The 22265-nt window shown below is 42.5% G+C and overlaps 1 protein-coding gene across 6 annotated transcripts in view, besides 3 other annotated features; it reads left to right on the top strand.

The window, feature by feature from the left end:
• RFTN2 (raftlin family member 2) overlaps nt 1–22265 on the top strand; it is a 107364-nt gene that overhangs the window by 68260 nt on the left and 16839 nt on the right. For 3 of the 6 annotated variants that reach the window (XM_011510598.4, XM_011510596.4, XM_011510595.4), the window contains exons 8-9: nt 11259–11337; nt 19307–19336. In XM_011510598.4, coding sequence (XP_011508900.1) covers nt 11259–11337; nt 19307–19336 — 109 coding nt within the window. The remainder of the gene's footprint in view (nt 1–11258; nt 11338–19306; nt 19337–22265) is intronic. The other 3 variants (XM_017003332.3, XM_011510597.4, NM_144629.3) reach the window with 1 other exon arrangement.
• Nucleotides 755–904: an enhancer, noted in NCBI's record as "active region_16940". NCBI's record gives its function as "activates an Ori minimal core promoter by ATAC-STARR-seq in GM12878 lymphoblastoid cells {active_cell/tissue: GM12878}" and the evidence as "EXISTENCE:reporter gene assay evidence [ECO:0000049][PMID:35858748]".
• Nucleotides 19079–19776: an enhancer, noted in NCBI's record as "OCT4-NANOG-H3K27ac hESC enhancer chr2:198452276-198452973 (GRCh37/hg19 assembly coordinates)". NCBI's record gives its function as "activates a minimal SCP1, AML or CMV promoter by ChIP-STARR-seq in primed H9 embryonic stem cells {active_cell/tissue: H9 hESC(primed)}" and the evidence as "EXISTENCE:reporter gene assay evidence [ECO:0000049][PMID:30033119]".
• Nucleotides 19777–20475: an enhancer, noted in NCBI's record as "OCT4-NANOG-H3K27ac hESC enhancer chr2:198451577-198452275 (GRCh37/hg19 assembly coordinates)". NCBI's record gives its function as "activates a minimal SCP1, AML or CMV promoter by ChIP-STARR-seq in primed H9 embryonic stem cells {active_cell/tissue: H9 hESC(primed)}" and the evidence as "EXISTENCE:reporter gene assay evidence [ECO:0000049][PMID:30033119]".

Raw genomic sequence — 22265 nt, 5'->3', positions numbered from 1 at the left:
ACTGTCCCCAGAGTGTGATGTTCCCCTTCCTGTGTCCATGTGTTCTCGTTGTTCAATTCCCACCTGTGAGTGAGAACATGCGGTGTTTGGTTTTTTGTCCTTGCAATAGTTTGCTAAGAATGATGATTTCCAGTTTCATCCATGTCCCTACAAAGAACATGAACTCATCATTTTTTATGGCTGCATAGTATTCCATGATGTATATGTGCCACATTTTCTTAATCCAGTCTATCATTGTTGGACATTTGGGTTGGTTCCAAGTCTTTGCTATTGTGAATAGTCCCACAATAAACATACGTGTGCATGTGTCTTTATAGCAGCATGATTTATAATCCTTTGGGTATATACCCAGTAATGGGATTGCTGAGTCAAATAGTATTTCTAGTTCCAGATCCCTGAGGAATCGCCACACTGACTTCCACAATGGCTGAACTAGTTTACAGTCCCACCAACAGTGTAAAAGTGTTCCTATTTCTCCACATCCTCTCCAGCACCTGTTGTTTCCTGACTTTTTAATGATTGCCATTCTAACTGGTGTGAGATGGTATCTCATTGTGGTTTTGATTTGCATTTCTCTGATGGCCAGTGATGATGAGCATTTTTTCATGTGTTTTTTGGCTGCATAAATGTCTTCTTTTGAGAAGTGTCTGTTCATATCCTTCGCCCACTTTTTGATGGGGTTGTTTGTTTTTTTCTTGTAAATTTGTTTGAGTTCATTGTAGATTCTGGATATTAGTCCTTTGTCAGATGAGTAGGTTGCGAAAATTTTCTCCCATTTTGTAGGTTGCCTGTTCACTCTGATGGTAGTTTCTTTTGCTGTGCAGAAGCTGTTTAGTTTAATTAGATCCCAAATGAAAGCTTTTTATGAGAGTGTATTTCACAAGTGACTGAGCAGTTACAGATAAACCCACTCTTTTGAAACTGGCTTAGTTGTATTGAAACTGATACAGATTCATGCATTTATTTTAACAAGAATGTTCTTTCTGTTCAACTCAAATATTTCTTGAGTGCCTAATATGTGCAAGACAGTATTTTACCCACTCTAGGGGCAGACATACAGGAACTCATACTCTGCTTTGAGAAACAAACCAGTTCATGACAGGTCCTGCCATGAAGGTCTAGAGCATGTATTCTCAACGGGAGTGATATGTCCCCAAGATGATGAAAATTGGTTATTGAGAGTGTGAGGGGGTGAAAAAAGTCTCAGCTATTACAATGGTTTGTGGCCCTCCAAAAGGCCACACAGTATATACACAGATATACAGCATATCTTTGGTATTAAAATTTAATGGGGAGATATTAGGGGGAAAATATCTGAATATTGCTCCTCAGGGAAGCAATAATGAAAAAAGAGTTGACTATAAGGCAGGTGAATATGGTAGAGGAATCAATAAAGGAGGAGGGCAGGTCTGTGAAGCTCATGATGTCTGAGGGGGCACCGTGATGAAAGAATAGTGCTTCCAAAAGCAGTTTTAGAAAGGAAAAGTATTCCTTGTGGCAGATAGGGCTAACTTGGAATAGTAAATGATTTTCCTCTAAGATACCAGCACTAATCTGTTGGTAGTGGCTGCCTGGAACGCTGCAATAAGGATTCTGAGACTAGAACCAGCTCAGCAAAAAAAATGTGGCATTCAATTAGTGATGTCTACTATGTGCATGGGAGCGGACGTTGCAGTATGAATACCACAGATTATTTGCTTTCTCTGGCAACCTTAAGCAAAGCAATGTCAGAAAAGTGCAGGATATATTTAAAGAAGAGTGAATTCAGGTGAATGAATTCCTAAAAACTTCTCATTTAAAACCCAACAAATTCGGCCAGGCGCGGTGGCTCACGCCTGTAATCTCAGCACTTTGGGAGGCCAAGGCGGGCGGATCATGAGGTCAGGAGATCGAGATCATCCTGGCTAACACAGTGAAACCCCGTCTCTACTAAAAATACAAAAAATTAGCCGGGCGTGGTGGCGGGCGCCTGTAGTCCCAGCTACTTGGGAGGCTGAGGCAAGAGAATGGCGTGAACCCGGGAGGCGGAGCTGGCAGTGAGCCGAGATTGCGTGCACTCTAGCCTGGGAAGACAGAGCCAGACTCCGTCTCAAAAAAAAAAACCCAACAAATTCAAGACTGATTTTTCCAAAAGAATAAATGTAAAGGGGGAGGGAGCTTTTTTATCATGTATAAATCTACAACTATTCTTCTACATGTCACCCTTAAATATACTATTTTAAAACAATTTTTGTGATATAAAACACTCATATAGAAAGTGCATAAAACACACGCTGGGTGTGGTGGCTGACATCTATAATCCCAGCACTTTGGGAGGCCCAGATGGGTCACCTGAGGTCAGGAGTTCAAGACCAGCCTGGCCAACATGGCAAAACCCTGTCTGTACTAAAAATACAAAAATTAGCCGGGCATGGTGTCACATGCCTGTGGTCACACCTACTTGGGAGGCTGAGGCATGAGAATCGCTTGAGCCCAGGAGGCAGAGGTTGCAGTAAGCCAAGATTGCACCACTGCACTCCAGCCTGGGCAACAGAGTGAGGCTCTGTCTCAAAATAAATAAATAAATAAATAAATAAATAAATAAATAGAATGTGCATAAAACACAAATGTGCATAATTATGCACAAAGACCTGTGTCATCACAGCTGGCCAAAAAAATAGAATATCACCCACACCCTAGAAGCACCTCATGTGTCTCCCCATCACATTCACTTCCTCCACACAGAGATAACATTATCCCCACTTTTAGGATAGTCATATCCTTGCTTGCCTAATAGTTTTACCACTTATGTATGAATCCCTAAACAATACAGTTTAGTTTTGCCTGTTTTTTAACTTTATATGAATGGAATCATATCATATATATTCTTTTATGTGTTGCTGCTTTCACTTAACATTGTAAGTTTTACCTATGCCGTGTGCAGCAGTTTATTTATTCATTCTACTATGTATGTGTCCATTCAGCTGCTGGTGGTTTGCTGTCTCCAGTTGTTGGCTATGACAAACAATGCTGTTCTGAGTATGAGCAGAGATCTTGGTGCACACATGTGTGAGTTTCTAGAAGCAGAATTGCTGGGTCATAGGGCACTTCTTTAGCTTTGTTAGATAAATACCAGATTCTTTTCAAATAGATTGTTTCCATGTACACTCCTACTAGCAGAGTGTCAGAGTCACCATTGTCTCAACACAAAATATTATCATACTTTTAAATTTTGCCATTTTGATCGAGAGTATGTAGTGTGATCTCAGTGTGACTTTCATTTGTAGTTTCCTAATTACTTGCTGAGATTGAGCACATTTACATATGTTTATTGGCCACTTGGATTTTTCTTTCATAAAGTACCTGTCTTTTTGCCCACATTTAAAATTCTATGTTTTTTTGTTTTTTGTTTTTGCTTTTTTGAGACAGAGTCTCACTCTGTAGCCCAGACTGGAGTGCAGGGGCATGATCTTGGCTCACTGCAACCTCCACCTCCCGGGTTCAAGCGATTCTTCTGCCTCAGTCTCCCAAGTAGCTGGGATTACAGGCACCCACCACCATGCCTGGCTAATTTTGTTTTTCTTTGTAGTTTTTTTAGTAGAGACGGAGTTTCACCATGTTAGCCAGGCTGGTCTCGAACTCCTGACCTCCAGAGATCCGCCTGCCTCACCTCCCAAAGTGCTGGGATTACAGGCGTGAGCCACCACACCCGGCCTAAAGTTCTATTCATAAGGCCAGGCACAGTGGCTCACACCTGTAATCTCAGCCCTTTGGGAGACTAAGCTGGGAGGATAGCTTGGGCCCAGGAATTCAAGACCAGCCTGGGCAACATAGCAAGACCCCCATCTCTATACAAAATTTAAATTTAAATTTAAAAAATCTCTACCTATAACTTACTTAAATATAACAGATAAAGAGTCCTTTATTTGTTATGCATGCTGCAATTATCTTCACTAATTCTGTGGCTTGTCTTTTTACTCTATGATGTCTTTAATTAACAAAAGGTTTTAATTTTAAAATCGACAAATGTACCTATCTTTACCCTTTTTAGTATATTGTTTAAGAAATCTCTCCCTTCATTGAAGTTAGTGTAGAAAGGAAAGAGTGAATTATTTTAAAATATGAGACTTTTTTTATTATTATACTTTAAGTTTTAGGGTACATGTGCACAACGTGCATGTATACATGTGCCATGTTAGTGTGCTGCACCCATTAACTCATCATTTAGCATTAGGTATATCTCCTAATGCTATCTCTCCCCACTCCCTGCACCCCACAACAGTCCCCACTGTGTGATGTTCCCGTTCCTATGTCCATGTGTTCTTATTGTTCAATTCCCACCTATGAGTGAGAACATGCTATGTTTGGTTTTTTGTCCTTGTGATAGTTTGCTGAGAATGATGGTTTCCAGCTTCATCCATGTCCCTACAAAGAACATGAACTCATCATTTTTTATGGTTGCATAGTATTCCATGGCATATATGTGCCACATTTTCTTAATCCAGTCTATCATTTTTGGACATTTGGGTTGGTTCCAAGTCTTTGCTATTGTGAATAGTGCCGCGATAAACATACGTGTGCATGTGTCTTTATAGCAGCATGATTTATAATCCTTTGGGTATATACCCAGTAATGGGATGACTGGGTCAAATGGTGGTGGCGCACACCTGTAGTCCCAGCTACTCAGGAGGCTAAGGCAGGAGGATCACTTGAACCTGGGAGACAGAGGTTGCAGTGAGCCAAGATCACGTCACTGCACTCTAGCCTGGCAACAGAGCAGGACTCCATCTCACCAAAAAAAAAAAGATCTTGGCTTTTATATCTTAAAGAATGTAGAACAACTTTCTCCCACCTATCCATAAATTCTAAGTACTATAGCTCTCAAAGATGCTTGAAATTATGGGCACATATTGAACCAAGAAGAAGTTCAAGTTGTCCTTGTAACTTCCTACAAAAAAATTTTTTTAATTTAATTATCAGCTGGGGGCAGTGACTCACACCAGTAATCCCAGCACTTTGGGAGGCCAAGGCAGACAGATCACCTGAGGTAAGGAGTTTGAGACCAGCCTGGCCAACACAGTGAAACCCTGTCTCTACTAAAAACACAAAAAAAAAATTAGCCAGGCATAATGGCGCACGCCTGTAGTCCCAGCTACTTGGGAGGCTGAGGCAGGAGAATCACTTGAACCCACAAGGTGGGGGTTGCGGTGAGCCAAGATCACGCCACTGCACTCCAGCCTGGGTGACAGAGCAAGACTCCATCTCAAAATAATAATAATAATAAAAAAAAGATAGTGTCAAACTATAAATAGAACTTTTTTTTAGTTTCATTTTTGTTGCTTGTTTGTTTTTACAACTAGTACTAGTCACTGTTGAACAAAACTGAATTCATTTGGGGGAATTTTAAGGCAAAGCTTTCAATGATTAATCTTTTATGTCACACTTTAATACCACGGATCATGAACTTGCTCCTGTCTCTTCTTCCGTTTGCCACACTAACATCAGGACCTGTGTGGTTTGCTTAAGTAGTCTAATTGGCCCAAGAAAAATGAACATTTGTGTTTATTTTCTTCATTATTCTCCACTATAACTTCTGAACATTATAAGGTGGAATGCTTAATTTAGGATGCTAAATAAAAATCTGGAATTTGGTAAAATAAGCTTAGACTTATCCACTAATTATAAAGTTTTCTAGTCAGAATAGAATTAAACTAACCCACATCTTCCTGTAGTCAGGGCTTCAGTGAGCTCTACAAGCAAATGTAGTCACTCTACATTTGCTTGTAGAGCTAATGCAGTATTGTAGAAAGAGTGGGAACTAGAGGAGACCCAAGACAAAGGTCTTAAAAGCTGAGTCTCAATTTCCCTATCCATAAAATAGAGAAAATGTCTGCTCTGCACACCTTAAAGGATTATCATAAGAAACAAGCATGTTAATGTACACAGAAAGGACTTGGAACGCTGAGAGCACTACAGGAGTCAAAGTTGTTTTTATTAGTTTAGTCCAAGAGATCTTCTGTTAGTGGGAAGACCCAATCTTCTTGATAGTCATGCTGTTGTCACAGCAAATCCCTCTCCCTCAAATGACATTCACATAGAATCTTCTTTGTGCTTTCTTATGAAATGCATAGAAGAAGGCAGGGAAGAGAAAAGGAAACATTTCTGAGCATCTCCTATGCTCCAGGGTCCATATCCAGGGTGTAGGAACTTTACATCTACTATCTCATTGACAATGTTCAACCACTTCTGCCTGCAGAGAACTCAGCCTGCCCTGGCTGACCTGTCCTTCATGCAGCCTGTGCCCTCGTGCTGACCACAGCACCAGGGATCATCTGCTGCCCTCAGAGATGAAGGGACTAGTCAATGTTCTCATCACTTCTCTGTAGACTGTTCTCTATACTTGTCACCAAAACAGTTTGTACTAGAACTTTTTCAGAATTTAAATTACTATCTCTAAATCAAGCATATTTTCCAAAGTTGCCTTTGTTTTCTAATACATCAAAGCATGACTGTCCATTAAAGTCTAAAACAGAACCAGAAGATTCTTAAATCCCTCTCAGGAAGATACTAAGTCACTTACTTAACTAACAGCACCTTTTGGATGAACCTTTTTGTAGGGAATAAGAGATGTGGGCTCTGTCCTCTGAAACCATCCAGGGCATTTGAAACATCCTCTCAGGTGCCATAATGACCACCAGTTTGCTAAGGGAAAAATATTCTATCCCAATTCTGTAAATAGAATTATCTCAGGAACCACTGAGAACCATAAGGGACTTACTTGCTTTACCAAATAGGCGTCCCTCTATAAGGCTTCAGACCTCTTTCCCTTAGGTCTACCGTGATTAGAGCCTCGAAACCAAAACAAGTTCCACATGGTCTCACAGCTGGTCTGAAAGTAGCAGGACCTATTTTAAATCAAAATGGCCCTCAGAAAACCAGGGACATAGAAGTTTCCGACATATCTCAAATTAAGGATCTGACTATGAGGACGTCCCCAAGAGGTAGGCAGATGCTGACCTTCCAAAGTCTTATTTGAGCATCTGGATGCTGTCTAAAGTTGTCAGCCTTTGACAAACCATCTCCATGTTTGCTGTTTTATCTCATTAGACTCCCCAAACAGCACTCCCCATAGGGCCACTGGAAGGCATTACTCGTCAGTTTCAACCGAACAGTTTTAAAGCTCGTGCTTAGGCCAGGCGAGGTGGCTCATGCCTGTAATCCTGGCACTTTGGGAGGCCGAGGCAGGTGGATCACCTGATATCAGGAGTTCAAGACCAGCCTGGCCAGCATGGTGAAACCCCATCTCTACTAAAAATACAAAAAAAAGCCAGATGTGGTGGTGTGTGCCTGTAATCCCAGCTACTTGGGACGATGAGGCAGGAGAATCCCTTGAACCCGAAAGGCAGAGGTTGCAGTGAGCCCAGATCATACCACTGCACTCCAGCCTGGGCAACAGAGTGGAGACTCCGCCTCAAAAAAAATAAAATATAAAATAAAATCAAGCTCGTGCTTAAAAAGCTTCTGCCCTTTCAGAGGCAATTCCCCTTCACACCACAGGAGGGATAGGTTTGACAGTGCTCTTGCCTCACTGAAGTAGCTGTGGAGGGTTCGCCCTCCCCTGTGCCACATGTTTCACCTCTCTGCATACTGTGTTAAATATCAAGTAGAACGCTGGCAGAGAGAATCCTATTTCAAACATACAGGCAATGATTCTCAACCCAGGATCGAGCAGTGTACTTCACACCATCTGAGGACTTTTTTCCTTGACATACACCCCTAACCCACCTACCTCCACCTCCAACCCACCGAGCCTTTGATAAGCCACCTCCTTCCTCTTTCTCCTTCTCACACTGCCTCGGGATCCGCTGGTAGAGATACTCTTTCATAATTTGGGGTTGCTGCCAGAAATTGTGTCACACTGCAGAGGGAGTAAGTAACTCCTCGCCCACATTCCAAATTCGTTTATATTTTAGACAAGTCAGGTCAGGAATAAATTGGTAAACTAAAGATGGTGAAAAATATGTGTCCTCAGCATGGCTCTAGGCAGCCTATCCAGCTAAAATTGTCCAAAACATTTAAGGACACAAGTCACATTAGAAGAATATGGTAAGGCTGGGCGCGGTGGCTCACGCTTGTAATCCCAGCACTTTGGGAGGCCGAGGTGGGCGGATCACAAGGTCAGGAGATCGAGTCCACGGTGAAACCCTGTCTCTACTAAAAATACAAAAAATGAGCCGGGCATGGTGGTGGGTGCCTGTAGTCCCAGCTACTCGGGAGGCTGAGGTAGGAAAATGGCGTGAACCCGGGAGGCGGAGCTTGCAGTGAGCCGAGGTCGTGCCACTGCACTCCAGCCTGGGCGACAGAGCGAGACTCCGTCAAAAAAAAAAAAAGAAGAAGAAGAATATGGTAAAATAGACATCAAGGATGCTTCCAGAAAATAAGCCCTTTTTGTTTCCACACTCCATACCAACAGGAACTGTTGGTGGGTTTTATTATTCAAGGAAAACAGTGAATGCCTTTGATAGTAGCAAGTATCACCAAGTAATCCCCAAGGCCTGAGAAGTCCACACTTCCAAGTCTGTCTCTTCTGGTGATGGTTCCCAAATTTACTGTGCATCAGGGCCACCTGGGCAGCCTGGTGAAATGGAGATTCCAAAAGACTGGAGTGGACCCTGGAATCAACAGGCACCTCAATGTTTGGAATGCACGGTAAAGTTTGTAAAGCCTGCCGTAGGTCAAACATCAGATCTTAGTGCATTCAGAATTGCCCCATCCACAGTTAGTGTGAAAGAACTCCCTGTAAGGTCTCCAACAATCCCTACCCCAATGCGTTCCTGCTTTCTCTTCAAGAAGAATAATTCTACCCTGATCCCTGCTTCCCATCTTCGGATCGTTCCAGACCTGGTTCTTTCATGTAATTCTCCACCTGGATCACACACCTGGAACATTACCCAGAAGGTCTCTTCTGCATTCCCACGTACCCTGTCCCTTGAATTTGTTTTTCTTTTTTCTTTACTTTTCTTTCTTTTAAGATAGGTTCTCTTTCTGTCACCCATGGTAGAGTTCAGTGGCGTGATCAATAGCTCACTGCACCCTCAACCTCTGGGCTCAAGTGATCCTCCTACCTCAGCCTCCCGAGTAGCTGGGACCACAGGCATGTACCACCACACTTGGATAATTTTCTTTTAATGATTTTGTAGATACAAGAGTCTCAGTATGTTTCCCAGACTAGTCTCAAACTCCTGGGCTCAAGGGATCCTCCTCCATCAGCTTCACAAAGTGCTAGGATTACAGGCATGAACCACCATGTCCTGCTGTCCCTTGAATTTGCTCTCTGGAAGATATTCTTGATTCTGAAACTTTTCTCCCCTTCCCTTAACTGCACCCTATATTTCACTAAATGAATGGAAAAGTGGAAGGAAATCACAGTTGTTGTGTTCCTTCTTGTGGCAAGCACAATGGGAGGCTCTTCATGCACTCTTATTCTTCACTTATCACTTATTGAGGTCCCTGATAGAAAAAAATCAGAGAGGCTGGGCGCAGTGGCTCACACCTGTAATCCCAGCACTTTGGGAGGCCAAGGCAGGCGGATCACCTGAGGTCGGGAGTTTGAGACCAGCCTGACCAACATGGAGAAACCCCGTCTTTGCTAAAAATACAAAATTAGACCAGTGTGGTGGTACATGCCTGTGATCCCAGCTACTCGGAAGGCTGAGGGAGGAGAATCACTTGAACCCAGGAGGTGACGTTGCGGTGAGCCGAGATCACGCCACTGCACTTCAGCCTGGGCAACAAAAGCAAAACTCCATCTCAAAAAAAAAAGAAAGAAAGAAAAAGAAAACACAATTTACGGATTAAATGATTAAAGGCGTCAGCTATTAGGTACTATGACAGAGTTTGGATTTGAACCCAGGAACTGTCTGGTTCCAAAGCCATGGCTTTTTCCAGCACACTTCATGCTCCCAAAACATGTGACCAGCTTTTTCTGTACACATGCTAATCCCGCCCGTGTACCAAAGCCTCATGATGATTTGTTCCCAAAGTTACTACATATTTTATAAAAGTTTTTTGTTCCAATCAAAGATAAGGTCAAAATGGAATGAGATTAGACTAGAAACAGCCTTTCAAAAATAAAAAAGAAGCAGTCTCCTGTTATCACTTTGAGGAAGATTTGATATTTCTCAAAATTCAGTGGTATCAGTAAGGCTGGGATTTTCAAATGGTATGCAGTTGACATATAACTCTAAAGCCAGAGTTTCAGTGTTGCATTCATTTTCCAGAAAAAGGGCTCAGCATAAAATGCAGCTAATAGTAAGGTTTTGTTGGGGTTTTTTGCATAATAAAAGTCGTAACTGAGCAACATTAGCTACAGACACTCCTCCCCATAAATCCATGGAGACTCTGTGAAAAGCATTTCAGAGGAATACAAACCCCAAGCAGTCTTTGGCAAGGGGTAATTTGCCATGATGATAGTTAAATAAGGAGAATACTGAGTAGCTGACTACAAAGAAGCATCTGAAAATAAATCTAGCTATAGTTGAAGTCCCTCAATTGAAAATGGATGTAAATTTTCTCACATGTGGCAGCCTAAATTAGTCTCTTCTGTTTATAAGGCAAGTTTGACAATGCATACCAAGAAGCTTAAATCATAAGATTTGACCTAATAATCCCACTCCTAAGTATTCATTTCAAGAAAATAATTCATAAGAGGAATATGATACATATTTTTTATAATAGCATCATATATTTATAACTGGCAAGAAACTGGAAGCAACCTTATTTTCCAATAATAAAAGAAAGGCTTAGTACATTTTGGTATCTTAATTCTTTGAGTTATTATGCAACCATTAAAAATAGGATTACAGTGTACAAACAAGGAAAAGAGCATTCAGTGAAGGGCATAGAAACAAAATATAAATGTGCAGTGATCACAGACATGCAAATTACACAAGCTGATAAAGACTAAGAGGGGAAACAAAGAAATGAAAATATTGATGTTAGCTTGGTGAGATTACAAGTGTCTTTAAACATTAAAATTATTTCCTTTTATAGTGACCATATTCAGTTTTTAGGGGTTTTTCCTGTTTTTCCAGATGTGGTTTTTATAGAATTATATTTTACATTCTTTCCATCACTGGAAGAAAAAAAAGATTTATATTTTATAATTATTTTTGGTCAGAAGATTATTTTACAAAACTACATATGGAATGTTCTAGCCAATTATGAAATATAGAGAATTACTAACTCACAAATACTAATACTATTGTTTTAATTTGCAGTGAAGGGAATTTGGCTACAAAGCAGATCGTATTCCTTCAGAGGCCAGTTATGTGGAATTCAGCTGCTCAAACACCAGATGTGAGTAAAATTGATGCTTTATTAACTGAATGTTATATTGAAGCATTTAATCCTTAAACTCTCATTGTAATTCCAAATAAGAAAGCGTGGACATGATATGGAAACAGTCCTCTGAACCAACCTATAAGGGAAATGTGCTAGCAATCAGGCAACATGAAATAGTTCCAAAGGGGATTATAATATGCCATCACAAAATATGCCACTTTGGCAAGAGGATTACTTTGAGCTGAAGGCAATTAAGAAACAGCAGACACAGGAGGAACTCTCTGTCCTCCACCTTTCTGCTGAAAAACAAGGGCACACATGTCACTTTATAAAGGCGACATAAATTTCCATTTGTAAACGTGTCTAATCACCAGAGACAATTCACACTGAAGAGTCTGCAAAAACAAACCTTACTAAAATAAGCTTGATCTTCCATTCGTTTACCCCATGTATTTGCCTTCTCACAATTTACTTCCCCAGAAGCCCAAACTCCTTTTCCCTCATCTAGTCACCTGTCCACAACTTACCACCCTTTGTTAAAATGGTATATAAACTCCCAGGTCTTCTACACCAAACTGCCTCTTTGGGTTTTTGCTACTTTTCTGTGAAAAGACTGTGTGCATTGAAAATAAACCTTTTCTCCTGTTAATATGTCTTTTGTCAGTTTAATTTGTAGTTCTCAGCTACTGAACCTAAGAGGAGAGAGGAACAGTTTTTTCTGCCCTTACAGTTCTAAATCTTGTGAATGAATGTGCCTGATCTTGCAATGCATCCATGCAACCTTGGCTATATTGACCTTTGGCAACACTTTTCTTTTATGTTATCTACTCAAGTTTATATTTTTTCAGCACTTTGCTGAAGGGCTATTCTGATCCTCAAGTCACCTTGATCTTACTGGATGCACAGCTGGAATACAATGATTGAATGAGGCAATCTGTGCATTAATAAAGCATAACTTGCAAAACAAGAAATTTGAAAATGGACCAGAAAACTATTTAAAGTGATTCTTTTTCTGTATCTAAATCAAGAAAACGTTGTTTTATGTTTTCGGGCAAAGCTGCAGAGATTTGAAAAAAGAAAACATTGTTTAGTACATTTTAAAGTTATCTAAACTATCAAAGAGCTAGATTGACTGTGTGTATAATACAGTCATGCTAAATTGTCTCACATTAATTTTGGAAAGAGGCTGGCTGGGTCAGTAGGTAAATCGGTAGAGAGGTAGAGAGGTTGTTGGGAAGACGGAGAGGCAGGAGAATAGAATGACCAAGTACACAGAATTAGAAACCACATTAAAGCCCACAAGTGAGCACTGCAACCCTCCACAACAATGAGGATGACTCAAGTTCATGAGTTTATTAAAAAATATTCTGTCTAGGCCATGCACAGGGGCTCACACCTGTAATCCCAACACTTTGGGAGGCTGAAGTGGGAGAACTGCTTGAACCCAGGAGTTTGAGACCAGCCTGGGAAACATTGGCAGACCCTGTCTCTACAAAAAATTAAAAAATAAATTAGGCAGGCATGGTGGCACATGCCTGTAGTCCCAGCTACTTGGGATGTTGAAGTGGGAGGATCACTTGAGCCCAGGAGTTCAGTGCTGCAGTGAGCTGTGATCATGCCACTGCATTCCAGCCTGGGTGACGGAGTGAGACCCTGTCTCAAAAAAAATTAATTAAATAAAAGAAATATTCTGGCCCAGCGTGGTGGCTCAGGCCTGTAATCCCAGCACTCTGGGAGGCGGAAGTGGGCGGATCATGAGGTCAAGAGATCAAGACCATCCTGGCTAACATGGAGAATCCCTGTCTCTACTAAAAATACAAAAATTAGCCAGGCGTGGTGGCACGTGCCTGTCGTACCAGCTACTTGGGAGCCTGAGGCAGGAGAATCGCTTGAACCCAGGAGGTAGAGGTTGTAGTGAGCCAAGATCGCACCACTGCACTGCAGCCTGGCAACAGGGTGAGACTCTGTCTCAAAAAAAAAAAAAAAAAAAGAAATATTCTGCCTAAAAGAAGCAAAGGTGGGTATATGCAGAGAATGGCCAGAAAAAGTTGTCCTTTCTTCTTCCCCCAAAGCAAACTTCTCATCATGTCACACCCTTCTTATTCTTTTTTTTTTTTTTTTGAGATGGAGTCTCACTCTGTTGCCAGGCTGGAGTGCAGTGGCGCAATCTCTGCTCACTACACCCTCCTACTCCCTGGTTAAGTGATTCTCCTGCCTCAGCCTCCCGAGTAGCTGGGACTACAGGCACACACCACCAGGCCCAGCTAATTGTTGTATTTTTGGTAGAGATGGGGTTTCACCTTGTTGGCCAGGATGGTCTTGATCTCCTGACCTCGAGATCCCCCCACCTCGGCCTCCCACAGTGCTGGGATTGCAGGTGTCAGCCACCACACCTGGCCTCTTTCTTTCTTTTTAACATTCTACAAATGGCCATTATTTTTAGGAAAAAATCATCAGAATTCACAGCCTCATGGGGTTTTGATTTACTGAGGGCCATGGAGTTGTGCTTGTGAAGATGTAAGACCCAAATCCAGCTACCTCACAGTCTCTTTTACTTAATATTAGATATAAGGTTTTTAATTCCCCAAAAATATGCAGGCCCTTTTTGTTTATCATGTTTTACTTTTTTATGAGACAGGGTCTTCTTGTGTTGCCCAGTCTGGTCTCAAACTCCTGAGTTCAAACAATCCTCCCACCTTAGCCTCCCAAGTAGTTAGGGTTACAGGTGCTCACCACTGTACCAAGCTCTTTTTTGTTTAGCTTTAGATACTATCCAGTAGTCTCTAGTCATAGCTTTTCTTTGGGTAATCTTTATATTTCACTGAAATGTAAAATTACTGGTTCATTTATATAATGGGAAGTATATATAGTTGGTTTGTATCAATGACAAATCTAATAATAATATATTTTATAACTTACAATTCCTCTTCTAAACGGATTTACCATTTCTTCATTTGACAAATGTTTAATTTTTCTAACAAGAAACCGCAGGATCTTGAGATTATTTCAGGGTAGAACTTGTAGGTAGGAGTCAAAGTGTCTAACAGCTATAACAGAAAGCTGATTTGCAAATTCAGTTTTTACTTAAGGAAACAATTTCTTACTCTATCTCAGAATGGTAGTAATACTTTCAGGACAGTAAACTATTAATATCAATATAGAGTTAATTTATTACCAAAATGTTAATTTAGCTATCTCATATATATTTTGTGAAAGTTGTATTTACAATATGCCTTGAAAAAATTTATGCAGTCACAGATCCATAATAGCACTGTTCTTTGTTAATACCCTGAAATCAGTTATTGTTTGGAAGGGGTTGATGGGAAGACTGCTTTGTTTATAAAGTCTTTCAAAGAATTTTTTCAAAGATGTTTAGTTTTAAAAACAGTTGGTAGATATTTCAGACATTACAAATGTTGTCCTAGGATTGTCAATGAGTTTTCATTAAACAATAGATTTCATGGGCTGATAGAAATTAACCTAGAGTCTGACCTTTGAAAAAAATTTCTTCAGCCAGGCACAGTGGCTCACGCCTGTAATCCCAGCACTTTGGAAGGCCAAGGCGGGCGGATCATCTGAGGTCGGGAGTTCAAGACCCGCCTGACCAACATGGAAAAACCCCTTCTCTACTAAAAATACACAATTAGCTGGGCGTGGTGGCACATGCCTGTAATCCCAGCTACTCAGGAAGCTGAGGCAGGAGAATTGCTTGAACCTGGGAAGCAGAGGTTGTGCTCAGCTGAGATCATGCCATTGCACTCCAGCCTGGGCAACAAGAGCAAAACTCCATCTCAAAAAAAAAATTTTTCTCTTGTTTCTTTTACTAAGACTAATATCAAGACTTTTCCTACCCAATTTCACTGAGCACAGAACAGTACTGTTATTGAGAGGTGACAGAGTGCTGGCAACCCTCGCAGCCCTCACTCACTCTCCGCGCCTCCTCAGCCTGGGCGCCCACTCTGGCCACACTTGAGGAGCCCTTCAGCCCGCCGCTGCACCATGGGAGCCCTTCTCTGGTCTGGCCGAGGCCAGAGCCGGCTCCCTCGGCTTGCAGGGAGGGGTGGAGGGAGAGGCGTGGAGGGAGAGGCACGGGGCAGGAACCAGTTCTGCGCACAGTGCTTGCAAGCCAGGGCGAGTTCCAGATGGGCGTGGGCTCGGTGGGCCCACACTCAGAGCGGCCGGCTGGCCCCAGGCATTGTTAGCACCCAGGCCAGCAGCTATGGAGGGTGCGCCGGGTCCCACAGCAGTGCCAGCCCTCCCACACTGCCCTCGATTTTTCACCGGGTCTTAGCTGCCTCCCCGCCGGGCAGGGCTCAGGACCTGCAGCCCGCCATGCCTGAGCCCCCCCGCTCCACCACCGTGGGCTCCTGCACCACCGGAGCCTCCCCAATGAGTGCTGCCCCCTGCTCCAGTGTGCACGGTCCCACGGACCGCCCAAGGGCTGAGGAGTATGGGCACACTGCGCGGGACTGGCAGACAGCTCCACCTGCCGCCCCAGTGCAGTATCCACTGGGTGAAGCCAGCTGAGCTCCTGAGTCTGGTGGGGACTTGCAGAACCTTTATGTCTAGCTAAGGGATTGTAAATACACCAATCCGCACTCTGTATCTAGTTCAAGGTTTGTAAGCACACCAATCAGCACCCTGTGTCTAGCTCAGGGTTTGTGGATACACCAATTGGCACTCTGTATCTAGCTAATCTGGTGGGGACTTGGAGAATCTTTGTGTCTAGCTAAGGGATTGTGAATACACCAATCGGCACTCTATATCTAGCTCAAGGTTTGTGAATGCACCAATCAGCACTCTGTGTCTAGCTCAGGGTTTGTAAATGCACCAAAGAGCACTCTGTATTTAGCTAATCTAGTGGGGAAGGTGGAGAACTTTTGTGTCTAGCTCAGGGATTGTAAACTCACCAATCAGCACTCTGTCAAAACGGACCAATCAGCTCTCTGTAAAACAGACCAATTGGTTCTCTGTAAAATGGACCAATCAGCAGGATGTGGGTGGGGCCAGATAAGAGAATAAAAGCAGGCTGCCTCAGCCAGCAGTGGCAACCTGCTGGGCTCGTCTTCCCCACTTGGGGAGTTTTGTTTTTTTACTTTTTGCAATAAATTGTGCTGCTGCTCCCTCTTTGGGTCCACACTGTCTTTATGAGCTGTAGCACTTACTGCGAAGGTCTGCAGCTTCACGCCTGAAGCCAGCCAGACCACGAACCCACCGGGAGGAACGAACAACTCCAGACGCGCCACGTTAAGAGCTGTAACACTCACCGTGGAGGTCTGCGGGTTCATTCCTGAACCAGCGAGACCACGAACCCACCAGAAGGAAGAAACTCCGAACACATCCAAACACCAGAAGGAGCAAACTCCGGACACGCCGCCTTTAAGAACCATAACACTCACCGTGAGAGTCCGTGGCTTCACTCTTGAGGTCAGTGAGATCAAGGACCCACCAATTCTGGACACATTATGTTCAACAAATCCATTTCATGCCCTTGTTGTGGGGGAGGAAATTGAGGATTGCACAATGAAGAAAGCGTATCATTGGATTTTTTTCTTCGGAAGTTATGGAGACCTTTACTTTTGGAATTTGTTTTATATTTCACAGATCTTCTGCAGTATTCTAGATACTTGTGACTGTTTTTAAACATGAAAAATGTCATTTCAAAATATTTAGACCCTCATTTACTACCTCAGTTTTCTCTAAGCTATTAAGAGAATTCATTTTAGTTAAACTAGAAAACTATTAGGAAAAAACATAGGAGAAAATCTTTGTCAAGTGGAGTTAGGCAAAGAGTTTTTAGGGGCCAGGTGCGGTGGCTCACACCTGTAATCTCAGCATTCTGGGAGCCTGAGGCAGGAGGATCACTTGAATCCAGGAGTGTGAGACCAGCTGGTCAGCTCAGCAAAACCCTGTCTGCAAAAAATACAAAAATTAGCTGGGCATGGTGGCGCACACGGGTAATCCCAGCTACTTGGGGGAGTGGGGGTGGGGGGATCGCTGGAGCCTGGGAGATGGAGGCTATTGTGAGCCATGATCGCGCCACTGTACTCCAGCCTGAGCAACAGAGTGAGACCTTGTCTCAAAAAAAAAGTTTTTAGACATAAGACCAAAAGCATAATCTATTTAAAAATTGAAAAAATATAATTCATCAAAATATAAAACTTTTGTTCTGTGAATGACACTGTTAACAGAAGGAAAAGACAAGCCACAAACTGGGAGAGAAAAACTCATATATCATATACATGACAAACGATTTTACCCAAGGGGTATCAAGGACTCTCACAATTGAAGAGTAAGAAAAGAACCCAGTTAAAAAATAATTAAAAGACTGGAACACCTCACCAATGAGGATATGTAAATGAGAAGTAAATACATGAAAAGATGCTTAAATCACTAGCCATTAGGGAAGTGCAAATGAAAACTCATAATGAGATATCATACACCTGTTAAAATGGTTAAAATAAAAAATACTGACAATACCAAGAACTGGGGAGAATGAGGAGCAATCAGAACCCTCATACACAGCTGCTGGGGATGCAAAGTGGTATATCCACTGTATTAGTCCGTTTTCACGCAGCTGATAAAGACATACCTGAGACTGGGTAATTTACAAAAGAAAGAGATTTAACTGGACTCAGAGTTCCTCATGGCTGAGGAGGCCTCACAATCATGGCAGAAGGCAAGGAGGAGCAAGTCACATCTTACGTGGATGGTGGATGGCGGCAGGCAAAGGGCTTGTGCAGGGGAACTCCTTTTTTTTTTTTTTTTTTTTTTTTTTTTTTTTTTGAGACAGAGTCACTCTGTCACCCAGGCTGGGGTGCAATGGCATGGTCTCAGCTCACTGCAACCTCCGCCTCTCCAGTTCAAGCAATTCTGCCTGCCTCAGCCTCCTGAGTAGCTGGGATTACAGGCGCGTAGCACCACACCTGGCTAATTTTTGTATTTTTAGTAGAGATGGGGTTTCACTATGTTGGCCAGGCTGGTTCAAACTCCTGACCTCGTGGTCCACCTGCCTTGGCCTCCCAAAATGCTGGGATTACAGGCGTGAGCCACTGTGCCTGGCCCCATTTTTAAAACCATCAGATCTCATGAGATTTATTCACTATGATGAGAGCAGCACGGAAGAGACCCATCTCTGTGATTCAATTATCTCCCATCAGGTCCCTCCCACAACACGTGGAAGTTATGGGAGCTACAAGATGAGATTTGGTTGAGGACACAGAACCAAACCATATCATCCACCCTGGAAAACAGTTTGGCAGCTTCTCAGGAAGTTAAACAGACATTTACCATATGACCCAGCAGTCCCTGTCTTGGGTGTTTAACCTAGAGAAATAAAAACTTACGTTCACACAGAAACCTACACACAAGTATTTGTAGCAGCTCTGTTCGTAATCACCTCAAACTGGAAACAACCCAAATGTCTTCAACAAGTGAATGAATAAACAACAGTGGTACATCCATACAATTAAATACTCAGAAATAAAAAGGACTGGGCATGGTGTCTCACCTCTGTAATCCCAGCACTCTGGGAGGCCAAGGAAGGCGGCTGGCCATGAGGCCAGGAGTTTGAGACCAACTGGGGCAACTTGGGACCCCATCTCATAAAAAAGTAAAATAAGATAAAGTCTGTCTCTACAAATAAAAAATAAAAATGAATAGGAAAGAACTTACTGATACACATAACTTGGATTAATCTCAAGACAGAGTGAAACTCCATCTCAAAAAAAAGTTTTATGTACTGTTTCTATACATCGTCTGTGTGCATGCAAACATATATATGTAGAGAGAGAAAAAAATAGGAAAATATGCCGAGGTTTTAACAGTTGTATTTCTGGGAGATGGAATTATAGGTGGGTTTTGCTTTTTTCTTTGTTTTTGTCACATTTTCTATATTAAATGTGTGTTATTTTTATGATTGAATGAAATTTTTATTTAGGAAACACACAAATCTTTTACAGCAAATCTACTCATATTTTTGCAGATGTGGGTAAGACAGTGTGAAAAGAATAAGGTAAGAGACTTGGGCTACAGTTCCGGGCCAGCTATTCATGACCTTGGACAAATCCTGTTTTCTTTCTGGGTCTGGGCCCCACCTCTGTAGAATAAGGGGACTGAAGTAGATAATCTCCAAGAACTAGTTGGGCTTCAGACTTCTACAGTCTAAGTTATGAGAACATCACAGTTTGGTTTGTTGGAAATGTTATTATTTAATGTGAAATGAGGGTGGGGTAGGAGAGGTGATATGATTGCTGAAGATGTATTTATTAAACTTAACATGTCACACGTGTCTGTGTGAAGAGACTACCAAACAGGCTTTGTGTGAGCAATAAAGCTTTTTAATCACCTGGGTGCAGGCGGGCTGAGTCCAAAAAGAGAGTCAGCGAAGGGAGAAAGGGGTAGGGCCGTTTTATAGGATTTGGGTAGGTAGTGGAAAATTACAGTCAAAGGGGGTTGTTCTCTGGCGGGCAGGGGTGGGGGGTCACAAGGTGCTCAGTGGGGGAACTTCTGAGCCAGGAGAAGGAATTTCACAAGGTAATGTCTTCAGTTAAGGCAGGAAATGGCCATTTTCACTTCTTTTGTGATTCTTCAATTACTTCAGGCCATCTGGATGTATACCTGCAGGCTTGGGCTCAGAGGCCTGACATTCCTTTCTTCTTATATTAATAAGAAAAATAAAACAAAATAGTGGTAAAGTGTTGGGACGGCGAAAATTTTTGGGGGTGGTATGGAGAGATAATGGGCGATGTTTCTCAGGGCTGCTTCAAGCAGGATTAGGGGCAGCGTGGGAACCTAGAGTAGCAGAGGTCAAGTTGAAGGAGGATTTTGTGGTAAGGGGCAATATTGTGGGGTTGTTAGAAGGAGTATTTGTCATATAGAATGACTGGTGATGGCCTGGATGCAGTTTTGTATGAATTGAGAAACTAAACGGAAGATACAAGGTCTGAATAAGAGGAGAAGAACAGGTATTAAAGAATTAAGAATTGGGAGGACCCAGGACATCCAATTAGAGGGTGCCCAAGGGGGTTCAGCATAATTACTTGCTTGGTTGGAGAGTTTTGGTGCTCTATCCTTGAGTTTTTTTATGTTGTCTTACACCAGGCCAGATTGATTTAGGTAAAAACAACACTCTTCTTTAAAAAATATACAGAGTCCTCATGTTTCAGCAGTGAGTAAGTCAAGGCCTCGGCGGTTTTGGAGGACAACCTCAGCTAGAGAGTCACTTGGGCCTGAAGGACTGATAAAATTTGTGATACGTCTGTGATGCTAGCAGAGAAGTCATTAGAGAGGCTACGAAAGGTCATGACAGAGGTTGAAATGCCTGCTATTCCAGTACCAAGAACATTAGTGGACGCAGAAAGTCCTAAACTGACAAGCAAGGGAATTAGTGGAATAACTCTTTTTTGTCGTGTCAGTGTCATGTGGGGAACAGGAAGCTCTTCCGTCCCATTTGCAAATTGAATTTTGGGAGTAAGGAAAATTAATGTGCATGTGCCTGTCCAATTAGCAGGTAGACACATGTAGGTAGAGGATACACAGAGGAAGAAGAGACCTTGTATAAAGCAAAACTGGAAATGCAAAGTAAAAAGATGAGAAGGAGTGCTGAAAGAAGTGTCTTCTACCCAGACTCCTAGGGATCCAGCTAGGGCGGCAGCTGTCAGAGGTTTTAATGGGGACTGATAGGGTAACTGCTTAGAGGGGGAGGTTCGATTTTCATGGTGTGTGAGAAAACGATGAGTATCTACAAACAACTTTTCACTGTTATTTATGGGGCTGGGTATAAGTAAACAAGAAGAGGGCCTGGGAGGAGAGTCTGACGAGCAAGGGGAAGGTAGCCAAGGTTGGAGTGAAATACAGGGTAAGTGCCTTCGTAAGCAATAATTACTGCTAATGTTTTTAAGTTTGCCCGTATTGATAGAGGGCTTATCTGTAATACGGAGCTGGGAGGCTCCAATTGTTTCAGTGGTGTGTGTAGTTGGGCTTTGGAGATGAAGAGTGAAGGAACATCACGAAGGTGAAAGGGAATTCCAGTGGGTCTTTGCTGAGAGATACAAAAAGGAGCAGCCACAGCAATAGTAGTTTGTGTTGTGAGGGGTCCGAATATGTGGGGAGTAGAGTTGATATAAGGAGAAAGGTTTTTTTAAGTAAGTGCGGAGGAGGGCGGCAGCTTGCTGATGTCACATGTCTGGGGAGGTCTTGCTGGACCTGTCTAGAAAGTAAAGAAGTTCTTCAGGAGGGTAAAGGTGAGGGCTGTTAAAGGAAGTTCGGAGGTGTAGGGAGACAGGAGATGTTGCCCAGTCTGTATGTAAGGCGGGGACAGCTGTGTAAGCACAGGAAGAAAGGGAAATGCAAAGCCAGCAATTGTTCGCTAAGGAGGGATTAGAAATGGCTAGCAGAGAGTGAGATTGATAGTGTGGTGGAGATAGCTGGGGAGAGGTAGAGGGTGGCATAAGAATGGGAATGAGAATAAGAGTGAGTATAAAAGTAAAGAACAGAACTTCATCAGGGTGAAAGTATTGGAGTGTGCCCTGTCAGCAAAGATCATCTATTCACCTTAAGAGAGACTTAAAAGTGGCAGTTTGAGGTAAAACCAGGAGATATCAGTTATGATGGTTTGAAGGAAAAGGGTAAACCACCAGTGTAAACAAGGGCAGGGCATTTACAAGTAGTTGAGAATGGTGAATAGGAGTATGACTAGTCAGAAGACAGTAGGGATGACAAGTTTTTGGGGTGCAGTCCAAATAGTGAGGGTGATTGCATAAAGCCCTGTTGCAAAAAGTAGGGTAAGGATGAATAGTCTTAATAGAATGAAGGGATGTATTAGGCTCATGAGGGTTATTACTGTTCTTCAGAAATGCAAGTGAGTTTAAGCGAAGTAGGAGAGAGTACTTGCGACTTCCAGGAGGAAGAGGAGGGATTAGGCTGGCTGTCCAACGGACACA

The sequence above is a fragment of the Homo sapiens genome, chromosome 2, assembly GCF_000001405.40.
Source record: "Homo sapiens chromosome 2, GRCh38.p14 Primary Assembly".
Taxonomy (NCBI): Eukaryota; Metazoa; Chordata; class Mammalia; order Primates; family Hominidae; genus Homo; species Homo sapiens.
Note: the sequence above shows the minus strand (reverse complement) of the source record. Positions and strands in the feature narration are given on the sequence as shown.